General features: G+C 38.0%; 1 protein-coding gene across 34 annotated transcripts in view; it reads left to right on the top strand.

Annotated features, from left to right (window-relative positions):
* The window catches only part of RBFOX2 (RNA binding fox-1 homolog 2), a 290089-nt gene that overhangs the window by 73263 nt on the left and 194074 nt on the right, over positions 1–22752 (top strand). For 32 of the 34 annotated variants that reach the window (NM_001394108.1, NM_001394111.1, NM_001394110.1 and 29 more), the window contains exon 2: positions 16665–16715. In NM_001394108.1, the coding sequence (NP_001381037.1) occupies positions 16665–16715 (51 nt within the window). Of the gene's footprint in view, positions 1–10279; positions 10504–16664; positions 16716–22752 lie in introns of those variants that run through there. The other 2 variants (XM_017028687.3, XM_024452188.2) reach the window with 2 other exon arrangements.

Below are 22752 nucleotides of genomic sequence, written 5' to 3'. Positions count from 1 at the left end.
CACCCTACCCCACCCCCCATGGAAAAATTATCTCCCATGAAACCAGTCCCTGTGCCAAAAAGATTGGGGACCACTGTTCTATTAAGTTGGATGTTAAAAATATTTGTAGAAATGTAAAATAATGATACTCTTCTCACTGGTTTAGTTTACAAACTAAACCATTTTCATAAAATATTTTTTAGGCTAATATAATGGTTGGTTTATTATTGATACTTTTAAAGGAATTAACATATTTTTAAAAGTACTCAGTTTTAGTTTCTCATAGGAAAATCGCAGTAGTTATAACCACAGAAGCAAAAGCTCTTTGGAGTCTTTGGTAATTTTTTAAAGTGTTAAGGTATTCTGAAATCAAAAAAGTTTGAGAATTGCAGCTCTAGTTCTCTAATCTTTCATTTCAGTAGTGGTTGAAACCTCTTAAATTGGTTCTTTAAGTCATGAATGGATCTTGACCCACAAATTGAAAGAGCGTGGGCTAGAGTTAGAGGATTACATTGTGAAGGGAGGTGGGATTTTGCTGAATTTTGCTTGAGTTGATGTTTGAGAACGTGCCAAGGTGTGAAGTAAATTGAGTAAAGTTTCTATCTGGAAATTAGCTATTTGTGGTCATCCTCCAAACCCCATTCAAGTCTTACCTACTGTGAGTCTCCTCTTTGTAATTTCTTTATGCCTTTCTCACTTGATTATCAACCATGTACACTGGTTCTCTCTGGGCCATACATTTACATTTTATTACATGGTTCATATTGTATTTGTTTACATGCCTCTTTCCCTTACTAGACTGTGAGTTCTTTTGAGAAAAGAATCCCTAGCTTATTTTCCTTTGCATTCCTACCAAGTTGCAGACACATAAACGTCCCTCAGTAAATGTTTGCTGAAGGAGTAAATGAGAAGAAAAAGAGAATAACCAAGTGGGGCAAGGCTTGGGATATTTGGAACCTAATCATGTAAGCAATGGAGGGCCATTACTATGGAAGTGGTATGAGTGGTGTTTTAGGTAGTTAACCCTGGCCCTGGTAAGAAAGCTGGGCAGGGGTGGATGGAGGCTAGCTCTTAGCTGGACCAGCCAAGAGACTATTAGAGTAATTTAAGCTTGAAGTGATCCAGGCCTGGATTAAGATGAGTGCTTTCGCCATAGATAATAAGGCATACATCCTGAATCCTGAGGAGTATTTGCAAAAACAGAAACAATACCATCCATACTGCTTGACAGTTGTTGTGTACTTATGCTGAATTCTGTGTTAAGAGCTTTATGTATATTGTTTCGTTTAATCTTCACAGCTTCCCTGAGGTAGGTGTTGTTATTATCTCCATTTTTTTCTAGTTAAGTACAAATAATACATGTTCATTTGTTGAACAGTTAGAAAATACAGATAAGAAACCTCCTCCCCCCACAAAGACATATATCACTCATAAATCCAAATTTAACACCAAGACATATGACCACTATAAACATTTTGGGATATATCCTTCCAGACATAAAAAAACATATATATTGTGTGTTATATATGCCTGAATATGAGGAAACCATGAATATAAGGCCTTAATGCTGTTTTTCCATTGAAAGGAAGGGCTAACCTATTAAGCGTTTAGGGAAATAGGCAAATATCTACTTAAAATATTTATTTATGTAATTTAGAAACATTTTATCTTTTTGGGAAAAAATGTGTATATGCTCTACTGCATCAGTATCTGTATTGTTGCTTAGAACCACTTTGAATCTTCAGTTTTCCAGAGTATATATTGAGATACAGCACTTTTTTGTGTCTATATTTATTGTAGTCACTGATGATTTTATCTCAAGCTGTAAGTACTTATTCAAATAACAACAGGAAGTTTCTTCATTTGTACTGTGGTGTATACTGCATTGCTTTTAAAAAAAATGTTAATGGAGGTTAAATTCATATAACATAAAATTAAACTTTTAAAAAAGTGAACAATTTGGTGGCATTTAATACGTTCACAGTGCTGTACAACCACTATCTCCATGTAGCTTACATTTTTACATCACCCTCAATGGATACATCACCCGTATCCATTAAGCAATCATCCTGTCTTTCCCCTTCCCTGCTGGCAACCACCAATCTGCTTTCTCTTTTGATGAATTTACCTGTTCTGGAGATTTTATATAAATGGAGTCATATAATATATGGCCTTTTATGTCTGGCTTCTTTCACTTAGTACTGTGTGTTTTCATTGTTTATCCATGTTGTAGCATATATCAGTACTTCTTTCCTTTTTATAACTGAATGATATTCCTTTGTGTGTATATAGCACAATTTGTTTATCTGTTTATCCCTTAATGGACGTTTGGGTTTCCATCCTTTGGCTTTTTTTTTTTTTTTTTTTTTTTTGAGATGGAGTCCCACTCTGTCGCCCAGGCTGGAGCGCAGTGGTGTGATCTCTGCTCACTGCAAGCTCTGCCTCCCAAGTTCATGCCATTCTCCTGCCTCAGCCTCCCAAGCAGCTGGAACTACAGGCACCCGCCACCAGGCCCAGCTAATTTTTTGTATTTTTAGTAGAGATGGGATTTCACCGTGTTAGCCAGGATGGTCTCAATCTCCTGACCTCGTGATCCGCCCGCCACAGCCTCCCAAAATTCTGGGATTACAGGTGTGAGCCACTGCACCCAGCCCATCCTTTGGCTATTGTGAGTAGTGTTGCCATGAACATCTGTGTACAAGTATTGGTTTTGAGTACCTGTTTTCCAGTTCTTTGGGTATATACCTAGGAGTGGAATTGCTGGGTCATATGGTAGCTCTATATTTAACTTTTTGAAGAACTGCCAATCTCTTTTCCACAGCAGCTGCTCCATTTTACATTCCCACCAGCAAAGTACAAGTATTTGTCAATTTATTTTTAATGAAGAACACAATAAGACAGGGAAAGTAAAGAGGAAGTATGTGTAGCCTTTGAGTCTATTAGAGCTCTGTATCTCAGATTTTGCTGATGGACTTATTAAATATTTATTTAGCATCACTTCAGCACTAAATGAAATTTAGCTCAGGGAAATGAATCTAATCTGTTTCAAGTAGTGAACAGACTAAGAAGTGATGATCAGAGGAATGAAGGAATGGAAATTTAAATAGACTAAAGTTCCTTGAGGGCAAAGGCCTTATTCATCTTTGTGTCCTCAGCATTTAACAAAGTACTTGGTGTATTATAGGTTTTTTTGGGGGGTCTCCAAGACTACCCTAGGTCCAGTGAATTATCTAGGACTTATGGAACTCAGATGTAGTCATACTTATAGCTATGCTTTATACTAGTAAAAGGCTATAAAGCAATGTCAGCAAAGAAAAAAGGTGCATGCGGTGAAGTCCAGAGGAAACCTGACTCAAGCTTCCAAAAGTCCTTTCCAAGTGGAGTCACAGGACTTGCTTGATTCCTCCAGCAGTAAGTTGTAACAGTGTTGTCTACCAGGGAAGCTTGTTACAGACTTAGTGCTGAGATTTTTTGGCTGGGGATGGTGAAGGGGGCTGTTCACATAAGCACCCTAACCCTAGCACAAATCAAAATTCCAGACTCCCGAAAGGAAAGCAGGCATTAACAGATAAGAGCCACTCTGATCAGTTCTGGGGATAGAACCCTTGTGAAATCTTCAGTTCTCAGATACTAGCTAAGGCCAACCTTAGCAGTCAGACCTGCTACGTTAATTCTTTTTCACATAGATGTTCAGTTTCTTTAAAAAATATGTTCTTAGGTCTGTGAAGAAAAATAAACACCATAGTAGAAAGCCAGCAGGGACTTTAATGTAAGACAGACCTGGATTTGTAATATGGGGGAAAAATTGTATAGTTTTTCTGAGCCTCAGTTTCCTTACTATAAAGTGATATATCACAGGGTTTTAGTGAGAATTAAAAGTGATAATGTTTATAAAACACTAGGCATAATGTCTGTCTTATATATAGTAAGTAGCTGTCAGCATTTTTTTTCAGCTCACTTGTATCAGTCCAGGTCCAGCCAGGAGAGAGAGACTACACAGTACTTTGGACAGGGCATTTAATATAAAGAATTATTTACCTCCAGGCGCAGTGGCTTATGCCTGTAATCCCAGCACTTTGGGAGGCCAAGGCAGGCGGATCACCTGTGGTTGGGAGTTCAAAACCAGCCTGACCAACATAGAGAAACCCCGTCTCTACTAAAAATACAGAATTAGCCGGGTGTGGTGGCACATGCCTGTAATCCCAGCTACTCAGGAGGCTGAGGCAGGAGAATCGCTTGAACCCGGAAGGTGGAGGTTGCAGTGAGCCAAGATCACGCCACTGCACTCCAGCCTGGGCAACGAGCAAAACTCCGTCTCAAAAAAAAAAAAAAAAAAAAAAAGGGCCGGGTGCGGTAATCCCAGCACTTTGGGAGGCCAAGGCAGGCGGAACACGAGGTCAGGAGATTGAGACCATCCTGGCTAACACGGTGAAACCCCGTCTCTACTAAAAATACAAAAAATTTAGCTGGGCGTGGTGGCACGCGCCTGTAATCCCAGCTACCTGGGAGGCTGAGGCAGGAGAATGGCATGAACCCGGGAGGTGGAACTTGCAGTGAGCTGTGATTGTACCACTGCACTCCAGCCTGGGCAACAGAGTGAGACTCTATCTCCAAAAAAAAAAAAAAAAAGAATTCTTTACCATAAGAGGAGACTGAAATAATGAGAAATTGACTCCTAGGAAGAAAACTCTAAATAACAGCAGATATAGATCTGCTGTATCTATAATAAGAAATATAATAATATGATTGATGTGTGACAAAATAGAATTAGTATAATAGCAGCTAAGCAGCTACCCCGGGACCGAGATATCATACCCAAAGAGCCGTCTCCCTCAATACCACCAAACACTTCCTGGCCGAGAGACTGAAATCTGAGGGGCTTTGGTGGAGAAGGCATGACTTTGACTCTCAGAATGGCAGAGAAGTAAGTCCCTATGGACTTATACCAGCAGAACTTGCTGGAAATCTGTCCTTTTGAAGTTGCCAAAAACTACCCTCTAGGATACTTGGGAAAGCTCTTCACAAGGAGTTGTCTCACCAGAGGCACTTTGCTGCCATATGACAACATGAAAAGGTTTACTGAGGGAAGCTACTAGCTGCTGGCTGCTGTCCATTGTAGGAGCTAGGATGGAGGGAAACTGCTTATCCTGTAAGAACCTGCTAGGCAAGCACAATGGGACCTGGAAGCGAAATGCTTTCCTCCTACAGTGTATCTCCTGTGTCCTCTATGGGTAAAGCTTGACATCATGCATGCTTTGCAAAGGAAAAGTATTTAAAGGGCCCAGGTTCATTTTCACACAGCCGGCAAAAAAGGTAAATTTGGAGCTGATAATCAATTAATTGATAACCAGTATATAGATGGAATGGATGTTTAATTCTAAATCCTCAGAAAACAGGAAGAAGATGGCAAATGGAGAGAGATCTAAGGAACCTCAAAAATAAGTAAGACACATGCAAAAAAAAAAAAAAAAAATGAAGTTGGACCTTACATCAATACCAAAATTAACTCAAAATGGATCAAAGACCTAAACATAAGAGCTAAAACTATAAAACTCTTAGAAGAAAACTTAGAGTAAATCCTCGTGACCTTGGAATTGGCAGTGGATTCTTAGACATGACACCAAAATCACAGGCAACAAAAGAAAAAACAGATAAATTAGACTTTATCAAAATTAAAAACTTTTATGCATCAAAGGACGCTATTAACAGAGTGAAAAGGCAACCAACTAATGGAAGAAAGTATTTGCAAAAATATATCTGATAAGGGATTAATATCCAAAATATATAAAGAACTTTTACAACTCAACAACAAAAAAGCAAATGGCCCAATTATAAAATGGGCAGGGGACTTGAATACACATTTCTCCAAAGAAGGTATACAAATGGTCAATAAGCACATGAAAAGATGAAAAGGACATGAAAAGATGCTCAACATCACTAAGTTGTAAAGGAAATATAAATCAAAACAATGAGATAACACTTCACACTCATTAGGATGAAAATACACACACAATAACAAGTGTAAGTAAGAATACGGAGAGATTGAAACTCTTGTGCTTTGCCGGTGGAAATTTAAAATGGTTCAGTGCTGTGGAAAACAGTATGGCAGTCCCTTAAAAAGTTAAATATTGTCACTGTGCAAACACCAAAGAATTACCAGTGATCCAGCAGTTCTGCTTCTGAATATTTACCCAAAAGCATTGAAAGCAGGGACTTGAATAGATATCTGTACACCCATATTCATAGCAGCTTTATTCACAATAGTTAAAAGGTGGAGGCAACCCAAGTGTCCATTGACAGATGAATGGATGGACAAAATGTGATTTTTACGTACCACATATTGTAGGCTACAATACAGTGATATGCACATAAAATTGTGTTTTATATAATTTTAACACAATATTATTATTTGGACTTAGAAGGAAATTCTGACACGTGCTACAATATGGATGAACCACAAAGATATGGTAAGTGAGATAAGTGCAGTGAGCTGAGATTATGTCACGGCGCAAATAAATATTGTTTGACTATTCACGTGAGGTACTTAAAGTAGTCACATTGATGGAGACAAAGTAGAATGCTGGTTGGCAGTGGACGGAGGGAGACAGGAATGGGGAGTTAGTGTTTATTGGGTGCAGCATTTCAGTTGGGGAAGATCAGAAAGTTCTGGAGATGGATGGAGGTGGTTGCACAACAATATAAATATACTTAATGCTATAGAAGTGTATACTGAAAAATGGCTAAAATGGTAACTTTATGTATATTTAACCACAGTTTTAAAAAAAGATGAAAGGAAACTGCAAAGAATATTTATAGTATGATCTTGAACCTCAGTACTAGAAAAGATAGATTAACGGGGAACTTTATTTTTAAAATTTTAATTAAAAAAAATTTTTTTTTGAGACAGTCTCACTCTGTTGCCCAGGCTAGAATGCTGTGGTACAATCTCAGCTCACTGCAGCTTCCACCTCCTGGACTCAAGCCATCCTCCCATTTCAGCCTGTCAGGTAGCTGGGACCACAGGTGTGCACCACCACACCTGGCTAATTTTTATTATTTCTTATAGACCCAGGGTCTCCTTATGTTGGCCCAGGCTGGTCTCGACCTCTTCCCACCCTGGCTTCCCAAAGTGCTGAGATTACAGGAGTGAGTCACTGTGCCTGGCCAGAATTTTATTTATTATTTATGTACTTCAAAATATAATTTTGTCATGATTGAATTTTATTTTATTTTTTTAAAATGCAAGAACAAAGTGGATTTGTAAAGAAAATTGAAAGAACTGAGGGTGTTAGCCAAACAGGAATTGATGACAGCAGAGTGGACTATCTGGCTGTATGAAGCATACGTTGTCATACCTGGGCTGTGTGATACGGCCTTTTGTTCCGAGGCTGCACATCTGTACAGCATGTGACTATACTGAATACTTTAGGCAGTTGTAACACAATGTATCTAAACATGGAAACATGTATCTAATGTATCTAATTTATCTAAACATGTACAGCAAAAATACAGTATAAAAGATAAAAATGATACACAGGTATAGGGCACTTGTGAATGCAGCCTGGAGAATTGGAAGTTGCTGTGGATGAGTCAGTGAGTGAGTGTGAGTGGATGTGAAGGCTTCGGGCATTACTGTACACTACTGTTGACTTTATCAACACTGTACACTTAGGCTACGCTAAATTTTTACAAAATTATTTTTCTTTAACAACAAATTTGCCTTAGCTTACTGTAACTTTTTTACTTTATAAACTTTAAAATTTTTTTAACTTTTTGATTCTTTTGTAATAACACTTAGCTTAAAATATAAACACATTGTATAGCTGTACAAAAATATTTTATTTGTATTCTTATTCTATAAGGTTTTTTTAAGATTTTTAATTTTTTTTTTTTTTTTTTTTTTTTTTTTTACTTTTTAAACTTTTTTTTGTTGAAAGCTAAGACACAAACACACACATTAGCTTAGGCCTCCACGGGGACAAAATCATCAGTATGCTTTCCACCTCCACATCCTTCCCACTGGAAGGTGGTAATGGCCAGTAACACACATGGAGCTGTCATTTTCTATGATAACAATGCCGTGTGCTGGAAGACCTCAGGAAGGACCTCCCTGAGGTAACTTTTTTTTTTACATAAGTAGAAGGAGCACACTCTAATGAAAAAAAGTATGATATAGTAAATACATGAACCAGTAAAATAACCATTTATTATCATCAAGCACTGTGAACTGTACATTGTTGTATGCGCTAGACTTTTATATGACTGGCAGCACAGTAGGCTTGTTTACACCAGCATCACACAAACACATAAGTAATGTTTTGTGCCATGACAGTTATGATGTCACTGTGATAGGAGTTTTTCAGCTTCATTATAATCTTTTTTTTTTGTGGCAGGGAAGAGTTTTGCTCTGTCGCCCAGGCTGGAGTGCAGTGGCACGATCTCAGCTCACTGCAGCCTCTGCTTCCTGGGTTCAAGCGATTCTTGTGCCCTCAGCCTCCCAAGTAGTTGGGATTACAGGTGCTCACCACCACACCCGGCTAATTTTGTATTTTTAGTAGAGATGGGGTTTCGCCATGTTGGCCAGGCTGGTCTCGAACTCCTGACCTCAGGTGATCCTCCCTCCTCGGCCTCCCAGAGTGCTGGGATTACAGATGTGAGCCACTGTGCTTGACCAGCTTCGTTATAATCTCATGGGACTACCATTGTTTATGCAATCAGTTGTTGACCAAAGTATTGTCATGTGGCCTTGACTGTGTATGTCACAAAAGGCAGAGTTTCTTTGGTCACTTTAGAGGTATTCTCATTCATTCTGTTCTTGAATACTAGAAACAGTTTATAATATCACTAGGTTTTGAACACCTTACAGTGAGGCAGAATGGCCATTTAGCACATATTCCTAAATAGCTGATGTAGAGGAAGCTAAGGAAATTAAAGGTTGGTTATTTGGAAATGTGCTACTTTGTAGGATTTATTCCCATAGACTATATAATTTTGCAATAAATAGACGTGGGGGTTGGGAAGGAATTCTTTTTGAGCTTCTCCTATATGTTAAATATTGTGCCAGATAAGCGTCACCTGATTATCTCATTGGATGTCACAACTTTATGTGGTAGATATTATCTATTACACAGTTGAGAAAATTTAGAGTCAGAGATATTAAGGATTTTGACTAGTCACATAGTTAGAAAGTGACCCAGCCAGAATTTGAATCTGTATCTTCAACTCCCAAGGTTCCGTCCAACCTTTCTATTGCATGATGAAAGGAGTTACATATATCTGTAATATAACTAGTAGAGTCTGAAGTGAATAGTTTATATGATTTGAGAGTCAGGAGTTGTAAATTCTGGGTTCTCTTTCATACCTACCTAGTTTGAGTGACTGTGGGCAAGGCACTTCTCTAAGTCTCAGCTTCCTCACCTGTAAAGAAAAGGGGTTTGATTGGTTATTTCTTAGACACCTGCGACCACTATTGAAGAAATTTTGGTGTGTTTCAAAGATAATCTTCAAGAACCCAGTAAATCCTGTATCAGATTTTACCATGAAACATACTGCTTATACCAGCTGATTTTTAATTTAAAAAAAAGGGGGGAGCGGTAAATGTGGAGGGAGTAGTGAATGTAACAAATAACTGTCATTGATTGTCTTGATAGGGAGGTAGAATGAGTTTTTTTGCAGCGAAAGCTTAGTTTACTAGTTAACAGTTGGACCTCATGTTGGGACCATGTTGTTAGATACTATCAGATTCGTATCACTTATAAGTCTTCATCTTATCTCTAGGTATTTTGAACTCTTATGGTTTGGAAGCAGAATGACGCCCTGTGGTCACTTAGCAATTTCTCTTCTTGAGGCCAGGCACAGTGGCTTATTCCCGTAATCCCAGCACTTTGGGAGGCCGAGGCAGGACTTGAGGCCAGGAGTTTGAGACCAGTCTGTGCAACAGAGTGAGACCTTGTCCCTACAAAAGATAAAACAAAATTAGCCGGGTGTAGTGGCACATGCCTGTAGTCCCAGCTACTCAGGAGGCTGGGATAGGAGGATCGCTTGGGTCTGCGAGGTCGAGGCTGCAATGAGCCATGTTCATGCCACTGCACTCCAGTCCAGCCTGGGCGACAGTGTGAGACCCTCAAAAAAAAGGTATATATTTTTTTCTCAAGCCAGAGAGATTTGTTGCTGGGATTAGTTTTTGCATGTAATAGCATATGGGATTTTACATCTTCTGTTCCTGTGGCATTCCTTTTATGTCCCAATTCAAAAATAGGCTCAATACTTGAAAAACAATTAACTTGCTGCGAATAACATAGTGAAACATCCTGAGCAACTTGATTTGCTTTTTTTTAGTCAGTGTGGTCTGTTTCCTTCTGTTATTAGATACATGCAAGGTGATGTGAAATTCATTTTCGACTGGGGAGTAAGTCAATGAAAAATCTGAGCTCGTACCCATTACCCAAGTTATTTGTAGAAGACAGCTTCATTTTGTATCTTCCTTTGCTTTATCTCGCTTTCTTCTCTCCAAACTGCAGAGTGGTAAGAATTCTTTTTGTTCCATTTTCATTATTCTTCCCCTTTCATTTTGTTAGACACAGAAGAAAGGCAGTGGGATGGTTTTGTGGATTTGTTTTTTTGTTGTCGTTGTTGTTTTTCTTGAGACTGGCTAATTTTTGTATTTTTTGGTATAGATGGGGTTTCACTGTGTTGGCCAGGCTAGTCTCGAATCCCTGACCTCAAATGATCCTCCCACCTCACCCTCCCAAAGTGCCGGGATTACAGCCGTGAGCCGCCGCGGCTGGCCAGATTTGTTTTTTTCATTGCTTGGTTTAACTTTGTTGTGTATTTCCAGTTTTCTGCACTCTGCTCATAGCCAACTCTCAGCAATGATAGAAGCCAGGAAGAAATACTTTGATTGGCAGCATGATGTCTTTCTTAAGCTTCTCGGGCAACTTCACTTTGGTTATTGTTTTATTGGTCAATGCTTAGGATTTATGGCTAGTATATTATATCACAAGTATAACTGTATGGAAAGCAGAGCTTTGGAGCTTCAGTATTGTTAAGTTTTCTTTGTACCTCTCTTAACTGTATTTTTAAAATGCTACAAAAAATAGTACCTTTTTTCTCCTCTATGTGCTATATTCTGGGTAATTTCACCAGTATTTTCTTGTAATTTTGCCAGTATTCTTTCTGGGAAAATATATTGACTAATCATTCAGAAATGATATTGATAATTTCCAGAAAAGCATTTAGAAAAACGGCTTTAAAAATCACTGTCTTTTCAGCATGTATCAATTCAACATAGTACTGGAGGTCTTGTCCTAATAGGTTTGAAGTTATCACTCACCTCCATCCCCCCACACACTTTTAAAAAGATCTTCTGAAGTCCTGTAGTTATTTTTAATAGATTTTAGTTATGGTATCAGTCGCACTGTCTTGTAATTATTATGACTCTCAGCTCCTCAAGGGCAAGAATACCAGCACTATGTTTCTCAAAGCAGTTGTTCAATCCACTCTTACTGAATAAGTGAAGGATTCTTCTGCTTAAAGAGATTTTACAGATGTAGGTACATATAGGAGCATCTAAGCAGCCAAAGAAGAATATAAAAGTCAGATGCTATTTTTCTTGCTGTGTATCACTTCTGTCTGTATCCACTGTACATTCACAGTCCATTGGCAGTTGGGTTTTTTTTGAGACGGAGTCTCGCTCTGTCGCCCAGGCTGGAGTGCAGTGGCGCGATCTCGGCTCACTGCAAGCTCTGCCTCCCGGGTTCATGCCATTCTCCTGCCTCAGCCTCCCGAGTAGCTGGGACTACAGGTGTCCACCACCATGCCCAGCTAATTTTTTGTATTTTGTATTTTTAGTAGAGATGGGATTTCACTGTGTTAGCCACGATGGTCTCAATCTCCTGATCTCGTGATCCACCCACCTCAGCCTCGCAAAGTGCTGGGATTACAGGCGTGAGCCACCGCGCCTGGCCAGCAGTTGGGGTTTTTTTGATAGTTACTTAAGGATTTTTCTGTTGCATTGTCACATGTCCACTAACCAGAAGCTTCTAAACGGTTTTAATTGCTGACCTCTTAGTTAATAAAGATTCTTACGGTTGGTATTTTATTTCTTATGTATTTCTTTTTATTTTTGAGCAGTCTCTGTGCCAAGACAGAGTCCGTTTCTTTCATTCTTAATAGGCCAATAATGCTTGCTTATAGACATATCGCTACTAAAACCTTTTCTTTTTGGACTTCTAACACATCTGATTTCCATCTTGTCTGTTCCAGTAGCTTTTCTTGTAATTTCATCTCTGCTTTAAATGCCAGTTATTGTTTTTATGCTGATTAAAAACTCAGACTTGCATATCATTAGATAATCATAATCATCTCTGACCAGACGAGGCAAATCTTTCCCACTATTCGACTGGCACAAAATAGTTGCGGTTTTTACCATTACTTTAATTTTGCACCAGCCTAATAGTTGTCATGAAGTAGTAGAAGTATTGGGTATAGAATCAAGACCTAAGTCTGGAGGCATCTCAGCCACTGTCATTAGTTATTTGATTATGAGCAAATCACTTAAAGTGTCTGAAATTCAGTTTTGTCATCTGTAAAATGACATTTATAAAACTTGTTTTATGCATTGTGAGGACTAAGTGAGATATATAGTTGGTTTTATAAGTTATAAAGCAGTAAGAAACACTGACAACAGCTTTATTCTAAGTCATATGTGAATTTTACACAATGTAAAATTTGGGTAAAACATGTCCTTTCAACCTTCCACAAATCTTATTCTTCTCCCTAGAGGTAACCACTATTAGAAGTTTGTTATATATCCTTCTTTATATTTTCGATGCATTTAGTTACCTTTTTTTTTTTTTTTAAGAGATGGGATGTCGCTGTGCTGCCCAGGCTATCTCAAACTCCAGGGCTTGAGTGATCCTCCTGCCTGAGCCTTCTGTGTAGCTAGCCATTTCTGCTTGAGTGTTCTGTTCTGCTGTCATTTAATATGACCTGAGGTCATTTATAAAGATTTTACCTTATTTTAAAAACCTTGCAGGTGGGATGTTGAAATTTTGCAATAATTGATAACACTATTACCTTATTATTAATGGAAACTGAGGTTTTTTTTCCTAGTTTTTCACTAAGGCAAACAACACTGTTTTGAAAATCTTCGCACATGCTTCTTTGTCTAGATAGAGATGTGAAGTTACAGGAAGGTATATGCATTCAATATTTTGATAGTACTGCCAAATTACTTTCCATAACAGCATCCCAATATACTTATATTCCTACTATTAGGTGTGAGAGTATCTATTGACTCATCTTTTTGCCTATTCATGGTGTTTTCATTTTTGCTAATCTCATATGTAAAACATGGTATCTCAAATCTAAAAGAATGTTCGTAGGCAGCATGGTGTGAGCACAAAAACCATTAAGTGGAAACAATTCAATTATCCATTAACAGGAAAATAGGACAGATAAGTAATTTATTTGACATGTTTATAGTTTATAAGAGAATACTAAATGGCAATCATAGTAAAATACAGTTATGTGCCCTAGTGGAGGTGAATCTTACATAGTATTGAGCAAAAATGCCAAATTACTGAAGAATACCTGCAATAGGATCCATGCCTGTAAAATTCAAAATCACGCAAAATTAATGCATTTGTAAGAGACAGATATATACAGGGAGGGCTTGAGAGTTCCAAATAGCCTTATCTGAGAGGTAGGAAATAAAGAAGAGTGCTAAGGCAGGTGGAGGAGTAAATCCATTTCCTCTGACACATCTCTGTGCAACCTGTTATGACCAACTTTTCTATTGAAGTTTTTGACAATACTGGCTTATACGAATGTGATCTTTTCCTTATATTTTTTTCATTGTTGAACTCCAGGATTTTATGGAATATGGTTCATATGTGGGATGTCCTCTGGGAGTGATGAATTTCTGTTAATATGCTTTTGGGGTTTTTGATTACTTTCTTAATCAGATAATCCCCTTCTCAGACAATCATGAAATGTTTATTGTAAGGGAATAATATGGAATCATTAGTAGGGATGAGAACCTGGAAAAATGGAAAGAACAGGGGTTTGTAGTCCAGCAGACACAGGTTGGCAGTTTGAATTTCCCATTCAATATCTATGTGTTATTGGGCCAGTTACTTACCTTCTTTCAGTTAGTTTCCCCAGTGATAGGAAATATATTTTTGTATACTGCTATATTATCTCATTCTTTTTGCCTCTATCTCTTCCTCTTTTCCACCATCCTGGAACTGTACTGATTAGGTGCTTAATAACTGGGGGGTTATCATCATCATTGTTAAAATTTGTAGAGAATGGTGTGTGGAAGTAAATTTATAGAATCCAGAACAAACAAAAGGCACTTGTGCATTTCGGAAAGAGCCTTGTTCTTTTGTTAAAATCTAAACTGCATGTCTCCCCTATAAAAATCAGTATGAAAAATAGCCAACATTGCCTATAACTATTATTATTTTTAAATAACAGATTTAATGAGATATAATTCACAGACCATAAATCTCGCATTTATGAAGTGCTTTTAGTGTTTCAGTGGTTTTTAATATAATAATGGATGTGTGCATCCATCACTAAAATCTAACTCCAGAACATTGTCATCTCCCTCCAGATAAACCTGGTAGCCGTTAGCAGTCACTGCTCATTTCTTCCCGCTAGTCCCTGGAACCACTAATTTATATTCTGCCTCTATGAATAATCTGCCTATTCTTGATATTTCATACAAATCAAATTATATAATTTGTGGCCTTTTGTGTCTGTTTTCAAGCATGGTGTTTTCAGTATTCATCTGTGTTGTATCTGTACTTTATTTTTAAAATTACTGAATAATATTCCACTATGGATGTACCATACTTCATTTATCCATTCATCAATCGACGGACATTTTGGTTTTTTTCTGCTGTTTGGTTATTATGAAATAATGCTGCTATGAACATTCATGTATATTATTTTGTGTGGACATATGTTTTCAGTTTTCTTAGTTACATACCCAGGTGTGGAATTGCTGGGTCATATAACTCTATGTTTAATAGAAGGACTATCCAACTGTTTCCAGAGCAGCTATACCATTTTACATTCCCACCCGCAGTGTAGAAGAATTCTGATTTCTCCATGTCTTTGACAATACTTATTGTTGTCTGGCATTTTGTTTATAACCATTCTGATGAGTGTGAGTTTTATCTCAATGTGGTTTTGATTTGCATAATGACTTATGATGTTGAGCATCTCTTCATGTACTTACTGGCCATTTGCACATCTCTTTTGCAGAACTGTCTGAATTCCTACACATTTTCTGGTTATTTAGCTCCATTTATTTATTACACATTCTTTTGGGTGTCTACATGTGTTAGATACTGTGCTAGATCTCAGGGAAACCATGATGAACAAGACACAGGGTCTCTGCAGTAAGCTTAAGTTGTCTTCAGACTTCCATGCTTTTGACTATCAAATATCTGAATATAGTCAACCTACCAATTAGTGGAAAGTTTACTCTATTGTTATATTCAAAAGTCCTATCAATGAAAATTTCTTTTACGCTGTTCTGCTAGTAGGAATGAAAGTACAGTGAATGGAAGAAGAGGATGAATATCTAAGTAGCAATGTTGAGCACTTTGAAAATTACAAAAGCAATGTATGTTCTCATTTACTCCTTCGTGTGCACGTGCATCTTCCCTCATTTAAAAGTTCCCTTGAAAGCAAGGGCCTTATTTTTAATTCATCTTTTTTTACTCCATCAGTCGACTAACAGTGCTTGGAAAATATTAATATTAGTATATATTAACTGAATGATTGAATGGGTCAAGTAAGCTGGAAATGAGTGTTCATGTTATATGACCTTATACTAAATTAGGGTTTGCATGGCTTTTATTAGCTATCATCCTTGCCCTCAAGGATCTTGACTTAGTGGTTTAAAGTGAAAATGAGACAGATACTCAACATGATATACCTTTAAAAAATAAGGTTAATTAGAATCATAAGTAACATAAAAAGTAAGCTGCACAAGTAAGCTAAGTAAATATTAAATATTAGGAGGAGTCACTTGAGTCCATAGGATGATATAGAGTAGTAGAGGAAGTCTTGAACAGAGGTCAGATTTCATCCAGATTTCAAAGAACTGAGGGGATAAAACAAAAAATAAATAAATAAAAAAGTAAAAACTGAGGGGAAACAGGCTGATAGAGACGAAGACCTAAAACTTTTCTGGGTTAAGAGGCAGTTCTCAGCAGGGTTGGTACTTGTCCCCTTTCCATCCAGGGGACATTTGGAAATAAACCAACAAGTTTTTGGTTATCCTAGTGTTTAGGGGTGCTAACGGCTTAGTGTGAGTTGGGGCTGGGGATGCTGAAGTCCCACAGTGTATGATGAAGTTAGGAATTAACTCTGACCCCAGTCGCAGTAGCACCCTGCCTAAGATATACTGGAAAGGAAACAGATTTAGCTGCATAAGGAAGAAATAGTTTTTATGAATAGTGCTCCTAAGCAAATACTGTTTTTTGTTTTTGCCAGTGTAGAGGCTTAACGAGGAGATATATACACTTAGGTAGGGTGGAATACAGTTAATGGAACATTTTAGGAACCAGGGCAGGAATTTATATTTGATCAGTTTGGATGATTTTGATTATGCCTAACATTTTCTTTCATCTCATGGTTTGATATTTTTCTTGTCTTTCTCATAGAACGAGCCTCTGACTCCAGGTTATCATGGATTCCCAGCGCGGGACAGCCAGGTTGGTATCTGCTGTTTGTAACTCAGATGATGTATGTGTGTGGTGTGTTTCATCAAAGGGTTGCTATGATAGAGAGCATTTCCTGAAATTACTTACTTTGAAAGGAAATGTGGCTTGTTTCAGCAGTGAATTTACTTTTACAGATGTAAATTAAGCATATTTTTAAATTCTATAAGTATTATGTTATTAAAATTGTGGATATTAGAAGAGAAAATAATCACTCAAGCACAGTCATGATTGGTTTTGTATTTTCTTCTCCAGGCTACATAATAATTTTTTGACCTGGTTTTCTTGATGCCTTATAATTCTGAATGCTGGACTTGTCTCTTTATTACCTGCCAGTTAGCCCCTGCCTGCACAGAGTTTTTGAGTCCTTGTAATGATCTGTAGCAAGAAAATTCCATTCTCCTCCCTGGGGGAATTCAGCCTTATGGTTTTAATCAGGGAAAGCTTGCCTGAGAAAGCAAAGTTTCTGCCACCTTTCTTTGTTAGATGGGAGGATGACTGGAAAAGCCCAGGCCCTATTATGGGTCAGAGCAGAATTGCTTCCTACGAGACACCCTCAGTATGGTTTAGGCAAGTGTGTAAAATGCCTTCCCTATCTTTTTGTTGTTTGAATACTTGAGCCCATGACGTTGAAACAGAGTTAGGATAGAAGAACAGGTAAGGCTTCCTCTTAGAGAAATGGTGTGGCTTAAATCACCTCGCCTCTGAAAGAAATTTGTATCTTTGATGTTTGGGGATATTGACGTTCTTCAGGAGATTTGAAAGGGTAGCTCCTAGAAATATCTTGGAATGCCATTATTCCTTACAGGGTTGTCAAAAAAAGCTACCATTGTTATACTTGTCCAGGAGATATGAGTTACAGTGCTAAACGAAAGAGTTCATAGTGTCCTTTCCAGAAGTTCATTGAATCTCATCAGAGCTCCTGAAGTGGATCTTAAAAACTAGGATGGTCGGCTGGGTGCGGTGGCTCATGCCTGTAATCCCAGTACTTTGGGAGGCCAAGGTGGGTGGATCATGAGGTCAGGAGTTTGAGACCAGCCTGGCCAACATAGTGAAACCCCGGCTCTACTAAAAATACAAAAATTAGCTGGGTGTGATGGTATGCAGTTGTAGTCCTGGCTACTCGGGAGGCTGAGGCAGGAGAATTGCTTGAACTGGGGAGGTAGAGGTTGCAGTGAGCTGAGACTACACCATTGCATTCCAGCCTGAGTGATAGAGCGAGACTTTGTCTCAAAAACAAAACATAAAACAAACAAAAACAACAACTACAAAAAAACAAAAACTAGGATGGTTGATAATCAATAGTCACCTATTTGCAGGCCTTTCAGATTTGAGAGTATTTGTCCAATTCTTGCACTTTTGGTGCTGAGTTGATATCAGAGTGGCCCCAGATAAGGCATCGGGAGAAGAAGTGTTGTTAGCTCTGTGTTCATCCCCTACTGAGTTCATCACTGTTGATATTGAAGATGGAAGCTTTTGGTAAAAGATAGGGCCATTTACCCTAAATCTAAAGAGAATGTAAAGATTTATTTGTTTTTCATTCTGGTTTGTGTCTGTCCTAGAGCTTCTCTAAGCTGGGAAACTTATGCCTTTGATAGTACTTTTATATCTTAGTCATATATCAGAAAAACATTCTCATACCTGGAGATCCACCCCACGGAGTTTCTGATTGGGTAAGTGTAAGATTGGGCTTACCCATTCAAATGTTTAAAAATCCCAAAGGTGATTCTGCTGTGTAGTGCGGTTGAGAACTACAGTCCTATGGGCTGCTTTAAAAGCAGTGACAGTTTCTGTTTCATCCTGTACTTTTCACTTAGGACATGTAATAAAGGGGTCGTGGTTAGTCTCTTAATCTAGTCTTGCAAACTAATGCAGTTACTTTATTATTTATAAAATGTTGCTTATTGTGGATTTAGGAAGGTAAAGCTAATTGATGTAAAGTATGGAAATAGACTTACTGAGTTTAGAAGACTGAAAGGGTACTGTATTCTTCTTGTGGGGATTATAGATCAATAAGGAGCTAAGCAAAAGGAGTTAATAGGAATTTATTAAAGCCTAAAAAAGTAGTCTCTTTGATTGTACCTACTTTTTCTTTCTTTTGCAGTAGGGGCCCACTTCTGTAACCTGCACATTCATTACTCATGCTGTCTCTGCTGCAGGCCTGTTACAGACCCTTTGCCATGGTTTAAAGCTGCTGATTTACTTTGAGGCACATTCTGATGGTGACAGGTTTATTTTAGTTTATTTTCTTGGGCTTTAATTTGTACTCTGGTTGGATCTTTGAATTAGAGATCTTAGAGTGTGCAAATAGGCAAATATTGAATAGCTGCTTGTTGTATTTGATGAATACAGAATCCAAATGAGTACTGCTAATTAATGCGCCTAACCTTGTGAACTCTCACTTTGCGTTTTGAGATTTGGGAGGCATTTATCAGCGTGAAACACTGGTCGCTGAACAGTCTGAGCTGGCGGAAATGGAACTTGTGATCTTTACGTCTCCTCAGCATGGTTTTGGCTCAGCAAATCGAGGAACTGGGGAATGGGGTGAAGGTGAATTTTAATTGTGCTTTTGTTTGCTTTCCCTTTTTTTTTTTTTTTTTTTTGTTGTTGTTGGTTTGGTTTGGTTTTTGAGACAGGGTCTTGCTCTGTCACCCATACTGGAGTGCAGTGGCATGAACATGGCTCACTGCAGCCTTGACCCCTGGGGTGCAAGTGATTCTCCCACCTCAGCCTCCTGAGTAGCTGGGACCACAGGTGTGTGCCACCACACCCGGCCTGTTTGCTTTCCTTATTCTTTCACTGTTCCTTCCTAAATAGATGAGAACCATCTGCAGACAAGATTCTTATCAGTGGCTGAATGGTGATTTAAAAAGAGATAACTCTTTTGATTGTTTTGGACCACTTTCATTGTATTTTCTCATCTTATTCTCCCAAACACCCCTTTTGAAGTAGATGAGGCAAATATTCCCTCTGGAAAGATGAGGAAATTGAAGCACACAGAGGTAAAGTGACTTATCCAAGGCAACAATTCAAGTAAGTAGCTAAATAAGAGCTGAAATTTCCCCTTCTGTCTGAGGGTCCTTTTCTCTGTACTGGAGAATTATTGATTGACCATAGGAAAATGTGGTCACGTGTGAATGTGCCCATTCACTCATTTACATTATTTTATTTACCATGTGGGGGCTTCGTAGACTTCTTCAAGCTCAACCACAGATGTAGAAGTCTGTGACTCCTGATTAAAGATTATTACTACTAAGTTTGTTAGCACCAAGTGTACCACCAGCATTTCACTTTTTTAGTGATTCTTTTGTCATGTTATATACAGTCCCAATAGCACATTGGAGTTAAACACCTGAAGGAAAGGAGCAGGGAAAACCACCCGCCACCTCTTGCATGTTTATGCAAGGTCACCTCAGCCTTCTTTCTTGATCTATTAAGAAGCTTTATGGGATGACAATCCATTGCTTTTATAAAGCACTCTGAGCATTTCACTATACTTTCTAATGTGGTTTCTCTATGGAAGTGGAGGAGACAAACATTGTTCCAGTTTTACATAAGTGAAAACTAGTTCAGAAAAGTGAGAAATTTTATCTAAGGCCATGCAGGACCAAGTGCAGTGGCTTACATCTATAATCCCAGCACTTTGGGAGGCCAAGGCAGGAGGATTGTTTGAGCTCAGGAGTTGGAGACCAGCCTGGGCAACATAGCAAGACCTTGTCTCTACTAAAAATAAAAAAAATCAGCCGGGTGTAGTGGTGTGTGCCTGTAGTCCCAGCTACTCGGGAGGCTGAGGTGGGAGGATTGCTGGAACCTGGGAGATTGAGGCTGTGGTGAGCTATGATTGTGCCACTGCGCTCCAGCCTGGGTGACAGAACAAGACCCTGTCTCAAAAATAAATGAATAAATAAACCCAGGCAGGATTTTAGATTGATGATACAATGTAGTGGTTTAGATTCCTAGTTGACTGTTTGTGATTTGTGCATGTGCTTAGGCGTGTTCCCAGGCCTTGATTAAGGCTAGAATGTTTTATGGATTTGCAGTATTTTTAAAGTGGGAGAATACTTATGTGCATCAGCTCTAGGGTTTTTATATAAGAAGAGCTTAAGAGCAGCAATCTGATTAGAAGAGGGCCTTGTTCTGCACAGCAGCCTTACTGTTTTTGCGAAGATTATTTATATGGGATGGCTCTTAGGGGTTTCCTAGAAAGTGATGGGGGTCCTAAGGCTCCTAAGGCTGGCCCCTCGCTCGCTTTTGGTGCAACAACTTTATGTCTGTTATAAATAAGGTGACCATATAAACTTTAGCATTCAAGTTGGGGCACTTTTGAGAATAAAAAGTGATGCCAATAATTAGTTTCAAACAGTCCCAGGTAAACTGGGATGTATGGCCATCCTTCTCTAATTGAAGAAATACAGTCAGTGTTTTCTTAACCAAAGTGATCAGAACTAGTAGGCCGTGGGTTAATCTAAACAATTGGTTGAAGTGGGGAAATATTTTAAACTTTTATTTTAATATAGAGCATTTTTAATTTAAACAAATATATGCTTACTCTTTAGTTTCCTGATATGAGGTCAAGATCCTTATATATAGATGTGATTGAAATACTACTTGAATTTTTTGCATAAACTGTGCTCCCAGAGCATCATCTGTGAGTTCTAATTTGTTTTTTTTTTTAAAGAGGAACACGGTCTTGATGACATTCAGAGCAATTTGGGTGAAACTGTCTATCTAGATTTGTATGGTTTTCCCTTCTTGCCCGGTCTTTTACAGTTATCCTGCCCACATCTAATTTGAGCCTAAGTTTTCAGTGTCTTGACTTATTTTTCACAAAGCATTCACATTAGTTATTTTCAAGGAAATTTTCTAATTTATTTCATTGATGTGTGTATATATATATATATATATATATATATAACATTTAATTATATAATTATAAGAACTTACGACTTCTATAAACTGGCAGGTGAATAAACACAAGTGATTTTTGGTAAGCATACAACTCAGCTACTGGGAGAAGAAAGGGCTTGGGGGCAAATAGGAGAGAGTTGTTTACTAGTTTTAGGTGGTTTAAGACTGTTAAAAGCGTCCCTTTATTAGACTTGGGAACTGGAGAACATTAGTTAATTTAACAAGTTAATTGATTAAAAGAGGCTTATACTTTAATCAACCACAGGGAAGACTTACTTTTGTTTCATCAATTTTGTATCTCCTTAGTGGTTACTTGACTAAATTTTGTTCTATTGTTTTAGAGTCAACTCGGTTTGGGGGATGGGTAGGGAAGAGGATTAGAACAGATACACACAAACTAGAGATAATTTGTTTTGCTTCATTGGGGTGGCCTAACCAAGTAAGGGATGTTCAGCAGTGGGATACTTGCAAAACTAAGTGTTGAAAGCTTTCATTATTTCATCATTAAAAATTATTTAAGCTGTAGTGTACTATTTTGTTTATTAATTGATGAATACAAATGTATATATTTGTGGTACACAAAAAACCCAACTAATATCTGCTAACTGCTTTACAGTTTACAAAACCCTCCTGTGTATATCCACTTTTGATCTTCACAATAGTTCAGCTAGGTGGCTTGGGCTTTATTATCCCAATTTTATAGATAAAAGAATACCAAAGCACAGAGACTGTCAAATGAATCTCCCAGTCTTAGTTATATAGGTAGTAAGTAAAGAATTGGACTTGAACCCCGATTTTCAGCCTCCATGTCTTGTATTTCCCTTTTGTATTTGTCTGTCAGTGTCTCTCTGAATATAAGTGTTCTTTTGCTGGTGTGACAAGATAAGATATTCTGGAATCTTTGGAGAATGTGGGAGCATGAAGTCTTCATATGACTTGAAAGTTCTTGAGTAACTTATTTCTGTCAAGTTTTCTATCTTGTTTGTTAAAATAACTTATGATCTAAATTTTATCTTTTCATATTTTAAATACAAAGAAAAATGTCATGTTGTCAATTTTTTTGAGACTCTGTTGCCCAGGCTGGAATGAAGTGGCGCAATCTTGGCTCACTGCAACATTTGCC

This window comes from Homo sapiens, chromosome 22 (genome assembly GCF_000001405.40).
Source record: "Homo sapiens chromosome 22, GRCh38.p14 Primary Assembly".
NCBI classification, from domain to species: domain Eukaryota; kingdom Metazoa; phylum Chordata; class Mammalia; order Primates; family Hominidae; genus Homo; species Homo sapiens.
Note: the sequence above shows the minus strand (reverse complement) of the source record. Positions and strands in the feature narration are given on the sequence as shown.